This window comes from Homo sapiens, chromosome 11, assembly GCF_000001405.40.
Source record: "Homo sapiens chromosome 11, GRCh38.p14 Primary Assembly".
NCBI lineage: Eukaryota > Metazoa > Chordata > Mammalia > Primates > Hominidae > Homo > Homo sapiens.
This window is the reverse complement of record NC_000011.10, coordinates 88,524,764-88,539,865: the sequence shown is the minus strand read 5'-3', so window position 1 is coordinate 88,539,865 and position 15,102 is coordinate 88,524,764. Positions and strand designations below refer to the sequence as shown.

Sequence of the window (15,102 nt, the reverse complement as noted above, 5' to 3'; positions counted from 1 at the left end):
GATTAACAGGGGAGACAGGCTGAGACAAGTAAAGAGAAGAGCATCATTTGTCTCTACATCATTTTCAAATCCAGCCTAAATCGCAGCAGCGTAAATTAGGGTATGTGGGAGCAGACAGATCCAGATGGAAGTAGGTCCAGATGGAGGTAGGTCCAGATGGAGGTAAGAAAATCAAAGATGCATTAACTTAAAAGAATTAATAGAGATTATATTGGTTATGTCTCGTATGAGGAAGCACTATTTCATAAGTATTAGGGGGTGTGTGGAGGAAACAGGACAAATATTTTGTATCAGAGCTATCTGGGAGAAGCCTGCCTGGTTATAGAAGTTATTAGTACAGAAGAAAATGACAGATATGAAAGGAACATTATGAAACAACTATAAAATCAAGCATTTTACATGAATTGTCTTACCTGATCCTCAATATTTCCATTGTATATATGGAGAAATTGTAACTCAGAAAGCATAACTAACCCTATGAACATAAACACAGTTTATGATTCCCTTATGGGTCAAAGGCAAACTCTGGTAAACAAGTAGATCCAGGCTTTGTGAGACCTAAAGTTCCTTCCACTTGGGGAGCTTTATTTAAGAAAAAGATTACAAAATGTGAATACAAAAATAGAAACAGGGCCTTGCCAGGGGCATCTGTGAGTGAGGGACCCTGATACTCCATCAGCTTTAGAGCAAATCTGCTTCCATCGAGCACCACTGAGGTTTAAGCTCCATCAGTCCCCAGACTGAGAAAATTTAGTTGCTGGTGCAAATTTTAATCAAAGTTAGTATCACAGAGGAATCAGTCTTCCTATCCAAAAGGGTAGAAAGGGCTCAAGTAAAAGCATAGGCAGTGTCTCAAGCCAAGGAGATTATGGGGAAAAAAAATGATAAGGTTTGAAAAATAGTACAGTTACCTGTATCCCTTAGGCCATTTAAAGACAGAACTAGGTTTAACAAATGGCACAGCTACTATTTGTAGCCAGCATTTTAGTGAGAAGCAATTTACCTCACAGTTGACCATTCTAGTAACCTGGGCAAATCACTTGATCTCCTGTGTCCTAGTTCTTCATTTGTAAAGTAGGAATAATAATAGTACCTAACTCAAAAGACTGTTGTAATGATTAAATCAGTAAATTCAGGGACTTAGAATTGTGTCTGGAACATTCCAAGTGCTCAGTAAGTGATGGCTCTTATTACATTTATTATCTAGCTTCATCTGACTTCACTGCATTTCCAATTGTTCATGTATAAAAATGTGAGGAAAAATCTCTGTTGGAAAACTACCTATCTCTCTTTAGAAATAGTAAGGTTATCTGTCTGAAAATTCCTCAGTCCTATAAGATAGAAACTAGCAACTTTTAATTAATGCCATAATGAAATGTTTCCTATGGAGACCCTTCTTATAGTTAACATTTTGTTCCTCCCTGAAAAGTTTTCCCTATTGAGGATGTTGTATAAAGCTTGTAAAGCACCTTAGGATTGGTTTTGAAATCTGTATCTTCCTGAATTTCTATTGATTGTGTAACAAATAGTAATGTTGAAGGAAAGTACACAATAAAATGGCAATGACTTATGATGATTCATATCTGAAAACAAGCTCTCATCATAAGTAGGATTAAAATACATCCTTTGGGAATTCTTCAGAAGCTAAATGAAAGGCTTTACTCAATACAAAATTTAACACATTTCCATAATATTGCTATGCTGTAATTTATTAAACTATTCTCCCGTGGTTGGTTTGTTCTTTTTTGTTGAGGTTTTTTTTTTTTTCTGTTTTCTATAACATTGAAGGAAAAAATCTTTGTGCAGAAACCTTTGAGCTTATGTTGAATTGTTTCCTTAGAATAAATTCCTAGAATTACTAAGTCAATACAGCTGATTTTTTACTTTTTAATTCCTTATTTGCATTGCTTCCCCACTTTTCAGCTTTTACCTTTCCATTATTTTCACAGAACACAGTGAAATATGTTACCTGGCAATTTCTCAAATCATTTTGCAGCTTATCTTCACTTTGCCATTAGTTTCTGGAGCTATTAATCATGCTCAGTTTTTGTTTTTAATCTGATTTATCTGAAGGAATCAAGTTGACATTTCAAGTCTGTGCAAAAGATGTTTTTCTGCGCACGGAGACCACAAGATCTGATGGAATATCTAGTAAATCATTCCAATATATTTACATATATAGATAGATAGAAGGTTGAGAGATGATATTGAAGAAAGGAATTACCTTGCAATAGTACTGCATAATATTGATCTTTTTAAATTTGGCTTCACTGTTTCCCTCTAACCTAAAGATCCATAATGACTTCCCTTCTGCCTTCATCTAGAATTTTCCTCTGATCAATTAGACTTGGAAGGCTGACTTGGGCTTTCCTTCAGCTCTCTTTGTAACACTCTGAAGTTGTTAAAATATTCTACCATCTCGTCCCTGTCTGTCTTCTGCTATCACACTGTATCCCACACATCGAAACTGATTGTCAGCTCTTCTTAGTGATGCCTCTTTTACAGCCTTCAGATTTTTGGTGTATTTCTGTCTAGGAAAACTCCAGCCAGAGAAATGCCAATCTGTTTGCATGTTAACAAGGGGCCCAGAGGGTGATTTATTCCACTTGACCATTATGTAGTCAAATTTGACCTTTTAAAAAATAAGCGTATATTGTGCTCAAAGCCTAGCTCCACTAAGTATACACTATTAACTTCATGTACGACCTTTTCAGTCTCTCAAATGTGCCATCAGATTATTTAAATAAGGGGTTTTTAAGCATGAAATAAAGAAAAAGTAAGTTGTTAATGAAGAGCATGAGATTTGGAGGTAAAACATCTGGTTTCTAGTGGCACTTCTGAGACTTACAAGCTATGGGGTCTTGACCAAATTGTGAAGCTTTCTGAGCCAGTTTCCTTATCTGCTGAATGGGGATAATTATATTCCTGAGTTTGTTAAGAAAATTAAATGATATAGGGAAAGTTTTTCTATAATAATGTGAATGCTATTCAAAAGTATATTACACCATAGTTTCTCTCTTCACTTTATGACTGCCAAGATCCAAAATTAGGATGGTCCCAAAAGGAATGTGGCAATAAATCTGTAGAATAAGATGCAATGTGCAGCATTCTACCTCATATATTTTCCCTAAGATGTTTTAAAATTATAAACTGTGTTTCTGGGTGATCACTAAAGATATCATCTAGAGGTAGATGTTTGATCCAAATTTCACCTGAGGTCGAAAAGCTGAGGTCTTGGCTGGTGTTCAAGGAACCAACATGGGAACAGAATTGAATGTGCTCAAAGCTGTTATAAAGCTTTGTGTTGGTACAAAGGGGGAGTGGATACAATAACTACAGCAAAGTCAAGATTAAAAACTAAAGTCAGAAAAATTCTGTCTCAAGGCAGGGAGGCAAAGGGAAAGAGAGAGCTAACAAATAAAAACTGGCTCCAAAATTTGCTATAACTGGTCTCAAAGAAGATGGTGGCTGGAAAGAACTCCTAAATCATCACTGAGTTGAGCCAGGATTACTTGTATATGGATCTGTCACTGACTAATAAGGAATAAGCACATAAGCCCACTGAGGTTCATTTTCTTTTTTGTGTGTGTGACACCTTCTTATTCAAATTACACAAAAGATAATTGCAAACAATTTTTGTTAAATATGTATAAGCCCATGCCAATTCTTCAATATATGTGAACAAAAGCGTTTTCAGAGTAGTTATAAGGCTTCAGTACTATGAGCTGAATCATTTCCCATGACCTAATCAGTTTAAGAATGTAACACTAAACCCACAGTAACTGGTTATGACTGTAACTAGCATAGCTTTCAGGAAATGAACAAGGGTGTTTCTTCCATGATTATAAGGACCAATTGTTTAGGCTTTCTCTAAGTGTGGATTATTGAGAAAATAATACTTTGTTTTACCCAATCGATCTCTCTCTTTTTTGCTCCTTACAAATCTAACTTATTAACTCTCACACTTATTTTATATAAATGGTACATACAGAAAGGAGCATTATTTAAAAGAACACAAACATCTAAGTAACACTAAAGTATTTGTTAGTAGTAACTTCTTTAGATTCATCATATATATACACTCACACACATGTGTACACACACAGAGAGACACACACAGTATTTATAAACAGTCAAACCTAAGTAAATGCTATAACAATTTCAGAAATTCTTAGACTCAGTTTTGGAAGAAAAACTAATGAAACCAAGTATAGCAGATAGGAGGATTTCAGCCTCAGAAAGTCTATAACCTAACTCAAAGTGGCTTAAATGATAACAAATTAATCTCACATAAAAAGAATTTCTGACACTAAAAAGGCTAATTCAGTAGCTCAAAGGACACAATGGCTCAAGGACCTACTTATTTCGACCTTTCCAGTCTACCACTGAATCACTGGACCACAGTTTTTGAAATGTTGGCTTAGCTTCTCTCATGCCTGCCATATGGTTGGAGCATTGTCAGGTATCACATCCAGACCACTGTCCACAGAAAAAGAGACTATGTTTTCCAGTGTTTTATTAATACTAAAGAAATCGTTCTCAGAAGTCTCCAGAAGACTCTCTCCCATGATCATTGGCTAAAACTGATGAGTAAAGTGGCAAGTGAATCTGATAATTACTATTATCATCTTAGTCTAATCAGTGTCTACATCGTGAAGGTAAGGATGGGATGGCTTGTTAAGAAGAATGTGACAATGCAAAGGAAAGGCAAATATCTTAAAAAAATAAGTATCTTCCATGTAACTGTATTAGTTCGTTTTCATGCTGCTGATAAAGACATACCCGAGACTGTGCAATTTACAAAAGAAAGAGGTTTAATTGGATTTACAGTTCCACATGGCTGGGGAAGCCTCACAATCATGGCAGAAGGCAAGGAGAAGCAAGTCCCATCTTACAAGGATGGCAGCAGGCAAAGAGAGAATGACAGCCAAGCAAAACAAGTTTCCCCTTATCAAACCATCAGCTCTTGTGAGACTTACTCACTACCATGAGAACAGTATAGGGGAAACTGCCCCCATGATTCAATTATCTCCCACAAGGTCCCTCCCACAACACATGGGAATCATGGGAGTACAAGTGAAGATGAAATTTGTGTGGGGAAACAGAGCCAAACCATATTATTCTGCCCCAGCCCCTCCCAAATCTCATAACTTCACATTTCAAAACCAATCATGCCTTCCTGACAGTCCCCTAAAGTCTCAAATTATTTCAGCATTAACTCAAAAGTGCACAGTCCAAAGTCTCTTCCAAGACAAGGCAACTCCTTTCCACCTATGTGCTTGTAAAATCAAAAGCAAGTTAGTTACTTCCTAGATACAACGGGTGTACAGGAATTGGGTAAATACAGCCATTCCAGATGGGAGAAATTGGCCAAAACAAAGGGGTGACAGGTCCCATGTAAGTCCAAAATCCACCAGGGCAGTCAAATATTAAACTTCCTTTGACTTCATGTCTCACATCCAGGTCACGCTACTGCAAGAGGTGACCTCCCATGGTCTTAGGCAGCTCCACCTGTGTGGCTTTGAAGAGTACAGCCTCCCTCTCAGCTGCTTTCACAGGCTGGTGTTGAGTGTCTACCGCTTTTCCAGGCACACAGTGCAAGTCGTCAGTGGATCTACATTCTGGCGTCTGGAGGACAGCAGCCCTCTTCTTACAGCTCCACTAGGCAGTGCCCCAGTAAGGACTCTGTGTGAGGACTCCAACCCCACATTTCCCTTCTGCACTGCCCTAGCAGAGGTTCTCCATGAAAGCCCCACTCCTGCAACAAACTTCTGCCTGGACGTCAGACATTTTCATACATCTTCTGAAATCTAGGTGGTTCCTGAACCTCAATTCCTGACTTCTGAGTACCCACAGGCTCAACACCACATGGAAGCTGCCAAGACCTGGGGCTTGCATCCTCTGAAGCCACAGTCTGAGTTCTATGTTGACCCATTTCAGCCATAACTAGAGTGGCTGGGATGCAGGGCACCAAGTCCCTGGCTGCACACAGCTCAGGGACCCGAGGCCTGGCCCACGAAACCACTTTTTCCTCCTAAGCCTCCAGATCTGTGATGGAAGGGGCTGCCTGAAGACCTCTGACGTGCTCTGGAGACATTTTCCCCATTGTCTTGGGGATTAACATTTGGCTCCTCATTACTTATGCAAATTTCCTGGAAATTTATAATTTAATTTTCCTTTTTGTCAGTCATTCATGCATACCTCATTCAATAAATATTATTACCTATACTATCATAGGCACTGGGAAGATAGCAGTGAAGCATACGGTTCAGAACCCATGCCTTCATAGAGCTTGCATTCTATCACAGATTCCACTGGGGGAAAACAGAGAATAAATAAAATAAATAAGTAAAATATAAATTATTTTAGATAAGTTTTCCTGATAAAAGCAGGAAATGGTAACAGAAAGAGTAGAGTGGTAGTTGCCTTTTTAAATAGGGTGGTCTGGCAGGATGTATTGAGAAAGTGACATTTAGGCAAAAATTTGAAAGAAGTAAGCTTTGAGGATATTTTTAATGAAAGCATTAAAGGCAGAGGAAATGGCCAAAGCAAAGACACTATGCTGGGAGGATATCTGGTGTCTTCAAGCAACAAGAAGATCATTGTAGATGAAGCAATGTGAGCAAGGGAGAAAAAGTGACTTTTGGGATCAGAGAGATAGTCAGGGAGTGGGAGGTAAGTGTAGGGATTTGTAAACCATGATAAAAAATTTCATAATTTACTCAGAGAAATGGGTAACTAACAGCGTTTTGAGCAGATGAATGATATGAAAAGATTTCTATTTTGACAGGATATTCTGCTTGCTGGGTGGAGGTTGGAATGGGTTTGGTCTGGGTTGGGGAAATTTAGTAACAGACAAAGCAGAACCAGTTTGAGAAACTGTTAAAATTTTAACAGGTATTGGTGGCTTGGGCCAGGGTAATAAATACTGGTGAGAAATGGTCAGATTTTAGGTATGTTTTGCAGATGGAGCCTGCAGTATATGCTGACTGATTACAAAAAAGTCTGTTCTTTCCTCCTTTTTTCTACAATTACTTTATCTCAAAACTCTGTACATTAGTTACCACTTTCTGTAAACATCTTTAATATTTTCCATCTTCCTTGATCTCTTGACCAACATGTACAGAATGTCTTCAGTTTGTATTTATTATTAAAAACAAAACAAATAACAACAGCAAATCTCATTGGAGATTTGATCATCCCTAAAGTTACAATTCCATTTTATTCATTTATTCATGGAGGTATTCCCTCAGAAAATGTTGGTTGAGGGCTTACATAATGGAGGCACTATGTTTAGGGTTTATTCACATGGTCATTTTTCTTTAAGTCTCTGCACTTCCATGTTTATGCTCAAGCTTAGTCCTAAAACTCTGCCATCTTTACTGCAATTTTGGTATGAAAATCCCTTATAGGATTTTCTGTAACATTCACAGTGACTTGTCATATGACTATAGTTCAAATGTCCCTCATTCAATAACTTTTACTATTTTTGGCACTTTCTTGGCCAAAAAGACTCTTTTCCTCCCATATTGTTTTTCTCTGCTCATACCATACTTCTATTCTAAATAATAAAAAGTAATTGAGGAAAGAGAGAATTTAAATTTGCTTTGTAAATGGGATGCATCTATATTGGTTTAAATGAGAGGTTTCCTTGAAGAACACACTCCTACCCACTTACTCCCCAGACTTACCCTCCTGCCTCATTAGTGTCCATTCCATATTGAGTTACTAAAATTTACACATAAGACATATGTGAAATATGCAACATTTTCCAACTCGCTTTCACAGACTTCTTAGAGAAATCAGGCTGTTTTTTTCTATGAATAGTTTAAAGCATTATAGCATGAAGTAAAATAGGTATACTGTGGTTTCTACACATATAAGAAAATATCTCCCTGTGGTTTTCACTAAGCTGAATGACAGCTAGCTTAGGAATGGAAAACGAGTTTAAGTGCTCACAAGGCTTAGCACAATGCTCCTTCAAGGGGAAGACTACGGGCCATAGTAGATGTCAGTGTGAGAGAGAAAGTGGCGAAAGAAAATTATTTTTTAAGACAATTTTATCTATTGGAAAGAACAAAACCTGGAGCAGGATAAGCCTATGACAAAACTGGAGTAAGGGAAATGTGCCTCTGGTGCCTTTAGCTTTCTTATTTGCTGTGTTTGTGTTTTTTCCCCTCCATTCTTGAACTCTCTAGGAAACTTAGGCTCTTTCTCCACTCATTTTTAACCAAATATGTTCTCAGAGAGTCTGCAATTTCTATGAGAAAACATGTCTCTAAGTATGCCATGGGATACTCACAACAGCATTTGCATCTTGAGTGTCCTCACTCATACAGGATGGAGAACATTTGCTCCTTGGTATCAGAGAAAAATGAGGAAAGAATTCATCAATGGAATCTTCCTAGCATCTCATAAGTTGTAGCACATTTGTAAATTCTACTTCTATATATTGCTCTTTGCTTCATCCACTGACCTTTCCCTTCCAAACCATATAGAGTCCCTGTCTATAATTCCTATTTAATGATTAAACCCCCCTTCTTATTCAACCGCTTCACTAAACACTCCATTTACTGTTGTTTTCTTAAATTGAAACCCAATTCCCTCCTAAGGACATTTCTACGCCATATCTCTCTCAAGTAAAGTTTCTTATTCTTCCATATCACGTGTTTCACAGGACACAGAGATGGAGGTCAGCAACTCAACGCTGCTTCCAGGCATATATCACACCCTTACATACAAAAATGTGAAAATTAAAGCTCTGACTGAATTTAGACTCATGGAATCTAGTTATCCCTCTATCTTTTAGCTTCATTTATAACTACTGTTTACTGCCAACTTCTGGATAAAGAACTTCTGTCTATCCCAAGCCCGGCTATCATTCTGAGTGAATTTAGTGCTTGTATAAAGGACAGATGAGTACCAAGCTTCTTTCTTCCCCCCAGTTCTAATACATTTTAATGTTCCTATTCCTGGTCACTTACTCAAACTTGATCAGCCTCACATAAGGCATCATTATTTCCAATATCAAAATCTCTCCTTTTCTGCCAGCTTCAGGCACAATTCTCCATCTATCTGCTACTTCACCTAATATACACATTTATTATTTAAACTTGTTTATTTTCTTCTAGTCTTTCACTTCATTCTGCACTCATTTATGTATTCTGAATCACATAGCCAATATAGAAATTTCAGTAATCCAATATTCAGTAGATATTGGTAGGAAAGAGGAATTGAGGTGAAGAAATGAAATTTTTTATCCAAATAATAATGGAAAATTACATTTACTATCTGATCCTAAGTTATTCTTACCTGCACATCTTTTAGATTTACCAGATGAGTATAGGCTCTTGTAGAACTCAGTACAGAAGAGCTAGAACTTCCTGGACAAAGAAGGTACAAGAAGAAGAACAACAACAACAAAAATCTTTACAGAAGATAAGCAAAACTTATTTCAGAATAAGTCATTCTGAAATTTATTAAATCTATTGTGAGAGTTTTTCATGCCAAGCTTCTGGCCTATAAACTAAAGTGTCAAAGCTGTATTAGGCATAAATCTAGAAATCCATAGTTTATAAGAAAACTTACAGGTTTACAAGATTGAAGAGCCTTAAACTCCATGTCTAGCATATACAAGGCACTCAGCAGATTTTTTTTCCAGTAAATGTTTTAAGGGAATGCTTACACTAACAGTGTTATAAAAGTTTTTGGACAGGTAGAATGAGCATGGCTATTCACCTCTTCTTTCCACTGTCTACATAGTTTTCCTGTTCTGAATATTTTCAACCATTCTCATTGTATTTGCAACCATCGGTATGCTGAGAGCTCCCCTGTGTATAACAATCCTCTAACCTCCAAATGTTTATACTCATGTGTCTGCTGAATATGTCCACTTGGATGTCCCACCAGCATCTCAAATCAAATATTCCAAAATGAAGCTTTTTACTTCCTTGCCCAAATATACTCCTTCTCTTGAATTTTCTTAACTCAGTTAACTGCACCATCCAACACAGTAACTGGGGTATCATTCTATACTTCTTCCTATTATACTCATCATCCAATAAATCCTACTCATTTTTGCCTCCCAAATAGTCTTGAGACTGTGCTCTATTTTTCATCTGTATTATCGCTACCCTAAGCATTAGCTTATCATCTCTCACATGCATAACTGTAGTAGTATTTCTCTATCTCTCTAGTTTTGTTCCTTCAAGTCCATTGCATTTTATCTAAATGTCAACTCTGATCCTGTTTTATGTAGCATAAGGATTCCACAATGACATCTCATAATCAACAAGCAAATTCATCATTTTTATATACTTCTCCATCTGCTTTCCCCTTTGACCTCCTATTTTATACTTCTTACAATAAAAATTACTAAACAGTGTTTCCCAGTATACACCATGCTGCTAAACCTCTCTACATGTTTGCACCTGATTTTCTCTTCACGGTGCATGTCTGCTCAATTTTTCAGATTTGTCTTACGTATCATATCTCACTAAAGTGTTCTCTGCCAATCTAGTATGGGTTAAGTAACCCTTCTTGTATTTGTTTCTATAATAAAACTTCTTACATTGTTTGGAAATTATCTGTTTACATTTCATCTTCTCATTCAAGACTGTGACCTTATCAATGACATAATCACCCATATGCTCCTTATCACAGTGCCCAGCACATGGACTATTCAGTAAACGGTTTTGAATGATGTCAACTAAACCTGCCTGGTACAGGCATAGGGACCTAAAGGAAGTAACAAAATTTAAAGTCCTATCACTAGATTCTCTACTGCCTGTACTTGATAACTCTGCTACTTATTTGCAAAACGGGGTCAAGAAGAGAAAAGGTAAATAATAAGCTTTTGTAATTTTGTTTTTAAACGTAGTAATATTGTTACTTGGAGGAAAAATTAATGGAAATAGCATGAGCTTTAGAATCAGAGAAACCTGATTTTTAACCTTGGGCTCCCTGCTCATAAACCACATGAGGTTGGGCTTACTGACACTGATCTTCAGTGTCTGCCTCTTCAGAATGAGAATAATAGCAGCTGCTTTGTATGGCTGTTTTAATAATTTACAATAGTGTACAGCAAACAGCCTGGCATGCTCAATATTTTGTCATTATTACTTTTTATTATAACTTTGAATATAAATATAGTAAATTAAACATTTCATTTGAAAAGTGAGTTAATACTTGCAAAGCACTTGAAACAGTGCCTTACAAGTATGAGTGTATGGGTGTTTTAGTATCTGATATATAAATTTATTATGTAAAAGAAATGAAATTTTAAAATTGATATTCCATGATCTGTAAATTCTGAAAAGCTTAAACTATTTTTAATTGACAATTCCATATTTCTAAAATAAACTCAACTGGAAAAAAATGTTGAGTTTTTAAACTCAACAGTTGAGACTATTAAATCTATTAGTAATTTTGAACAGCACATTACTGGTAAATGGGATAATGAGTAAGTGAATGAATAAAAATATGATCTATTTAAATATCTGGTGAATATAATTACAGGTACAGACAGGCAAGTAGGGTCCTATCTGAAAGCAATGATGAGTTTCCCATTCTGTATTAATGCCATTTTCAGCTTGCATTGAATACAAAAACTGCTTGAAAGTTCCAAAAAGTCTAAGATATTGCTCACATTTTTAAAATGAGTTTTGTTATTATTGTTTTGAATTTTCATTATTTTGTTTTTTATATGTCAGTGAAAGCTTTTACCAAAAGCAGTTAGGTTTTGTTTTTGTTTTTTGTTTTGTTTCTATGGTTTTTCTAAACTTTTAGGTTCAGGGGTATATGTGCAGGTTTGTTTTATAGGTAAGTTGTGTTTTGCAGGGGTATAATATGCAGATTATTTCATCACCCAGGTAATAAGTATAGAATCTGGTAGGTAGTTTTTTGATCCTCACTCTCCTCCCACCCTCCACCCTCATGGAGGCCCCAGTGTCTATTTTTCCCTTTGTGTCCATGCGTACTCAGTGTTAAGCTCCCATTGATAAATGAAAACATGAAGTACTTGGTTTTCTGTTTCTCCATTAGTTTGGTTAGGATAATGCCCTCCTGTGCTATTCATGTGTAAAGGACATGATCTCATTCTTTTTATGACTGCATAGTATTCTATGATGTATATGTACCACATTTTCTTTATCCATTTTACCGTTGATGGGCATTTAGGTTGATTCCATGACTTTGTTATAGTGAATAGTGCTGCAGTGAACATATACATGGATGTGTTTTTATGATAGAGAGATTTATATTCCTTTAGGTATATGACCAGTAATGGGATTTCTGGGTCAAATGGTAGTTCTGCTTTAAGTTCTTTGAGAAATTGCCAAGCTGATTTCCACAGTGGCTGAACTAATTTCCATTCCCACTAGCAGTGTGTAAGCATTCCTTTTTCTTCACAGAGGTTAGAGTTTGATAGAATAAGATGCTTAGGATCTATTCCATATTTCATAAACAGAGGTCACCTGGCAGAGTGTGTGTGGTCATGAGAGAAAGAAAGAAAGAGAAGAGCTTATAAGCATGAAGACTGTAGGTTTCTTAACTCATCTATGAAATATTTAATGATTAATTCACAATTAGCCTAACAGAAGATATTCAAAAATATGTTAAGGATCCCTTTGTAAGGAAGTGAATGACCACCAATAATTTATTATTCTATCAATATTCTTTTAATTTGAGCTGTCGAGCAGTATTTTGCTTGAGCAATCCAATTCACAAAGAAGCACAAAATACTTTGCATTGAAACATTGAGCATCATTTGGCCATTGGTACTTCTAAGGTATTTTCTTGGTAAAATTAAGTCTACTCAATCTAGCTTGGTCTGATGATTTACCTCCTTTAACAAAGTCTCTAAGTTCTTTTCCTCTCTTCTTTATGCCTACATCTAAAATTACTTGTGTACGTATTTCTTATTTCCTTCCTTCTCCTACTGTTAGGTAAATTCTAACAGGTGGGGCCTGCAGATTACTTATCTTTACATCTGTAGTGCAAAGTCCATTACCTAGGATTTAATAAATGCTCAACTAATGTCCGTTAAATAGGTAATCCATTAAATTCATTTTGCTTGATGTAATAAGCCATTTTTCTTCAAATACTAGATACTTTAAACATTTTAGAAGGGAAAAAAAATTAAGAGGAAGGCCTCTGCCCCAGGATCAATAATGATGTTGACTTTGTTGCATTTTATTTTATTTTATACTACTTTTGAAACAGCAGGAAAATAAACTAAAAAGAGTGTGACTGTACTGAGATAAACAAGTCTTATTATAGTAACTCCCTTTATCATAGCCTACTGGATACCAGGAAGGTGGATGAAGTGGTGTTATACCAGGCTCCAGTTTAATTAGGGAAAAGGTAATAAAACCTTAAGAGCTCTGGGCCCCTGCAAGCTCTACAGGTGGTTATTCTCTACTGATGAGGCTTGTGACTTTCATGAAGTCAGTTAAGTAAATCTAGCTTCCTCATCTGGCAAATGGAAATAACAGTTCTTTTTTAAAAACCTTACAGAATCGAACCAATGAGTAAAAGAGGTTATTTCTGTGAAATCATGTTAGCTCAAAAAACTGTCATTGAGATACAAGAACTCATCTTGATGCACCACGTAGAAGAGTAATATTGGGAATCTCATCACTTATTTTAGATGAAATATCTGGTATCTTCAAAGCGCGGTGAACTGCCAATTATAATACAAAAATAATGGCGGCATCCCAATACTGACAGTAAAACTTCAGCTTAATGTTTACAGAAACTTTTAATATCCAAAGAACATGTCTTCTCTCCTCTGTTATTGCCAATGTCTAACAACATCCAGAATGGTATCACTCAATGAGGGCTTGCTCAAGATAATAATTAGCTTAAAAACTTGATAATGGAAGGCAACACATTATAATGGCTGAAGTGTGGGTTCTAAACTTAGATTCCCTGTATTCAAAATCCAGCCCAACCACTTATTTAATTAACTAATCTTTGATTAATTTGCTTAACCTCTATAATCTTAGGTTTCTTCATCAGTAAAATGGAAATGATAACAAAGCCTCTGGCCCAGGGCTGTTGCCTGGATACAATTTAGGTAAAGTTCTAGCATAGTGTCTGACACATGGTAAGCACTGAATAGATTCTAATGTGTTGATTGATATTCATCTTTTTCTAAGATGCTAGAAATTGCACACCTTTACCATTGACTATTAAATGTGACATATTCAGTTTAATAGGCAATGTGAAAGAATGGGTTACATGTGGTTTAACCAAAAAGTAACAACGTCATCCCTGATGTTGTCCATATGCCATCACATTCATCTAATAAGTATCACAGGTTGGTCATTGCATTGAGAAGCAGGAACCCCCATTTTGGCACAGAGTGACCATCTCCACAGTCACGGCCGTTCCTCAGCCTGGCAGTTAAGCACACAATCACGTCTTTCTGTTTGCTCCTGTCCTTGTTCATGCTCACCAGGTACAAAGACAGGAGACTGGCCCAGCACAAGTCGGAAATAGAGTGTTTCACCCCCAAAGGGAGTATGGGGAATGGTGGGAGAGCAACAATGAGCAGGTAAGCAAACTATGAGTGGCCTGAGGTGGTGTGAAATAAATGTATGCAAGCTAGAGGAACATGTGGCTCCCTGGTCTGGGTCCTCACTCAACTGTGCAACTCATACAGTGTGTCCAACCCAGGCTACTACTGGTTTTCTATGTGTGTTTGATTTGCAAAACCTATGACACCCTCATGTGTAGTAATGGGAGCCTCCTGTCCCAGATGCTGCTGTTTCCCAGGGTTGTGCGCTTTGCATGTCTGAAGCCTTAGCTCACAGTCAGTCCTCCTCTGGGTTTTAACTTATTGGTCAAACGGTTCTGGAGTTTGCAAAGTGGAAGAGATTGGAGGAAACTCATATTTCAGGGCTATCCAATCACTTAATAAAACAAATACAAAGCTTAGAACTGGTTTTAAGGAAAGGATTACTATTGAAGGAAGACTCCAGCCCCTGATCCTGGACAAGCCTGGAAATTAATATACCTTACTTTGAATGTAACATCATCTCACAGCCAAGGGCAAATGCCTTGCCAAACTAGTGGACTGTAGAGACAAGTGGCTTTTCT

General features: G+C 36.8%; 1 protein-coding gene across 4 annotated transcripts in view; it reads left to right on the top strand.

The window, feature by feature from the left end:
• GRM5 (glutamate metabotropic receptor 5) overlaps positions 1-15,102 on the top strand; it is a 561,341-nt gene that overhangs the window by 526,117 nt on the left and 20,122 nt on the right. For 2 of the 4 annotated variants that reach the window (NM_001143831.3, XM_011542792.2), the window contains exon 9: positions 14,462-14,557. The exons of the other annotated variants lie outside the window; for them this stretch is intronic. In NM_001143831.3, coding sequence (NP_001137303.1) covers positions 14,462-14,557 — 96 coding nt within the window. The remainder of the gene's footprint in view (positions 1-14,461; positions 14,558-15,102) is intronic. 4 annotated transcript variants of the gene reach the window in all.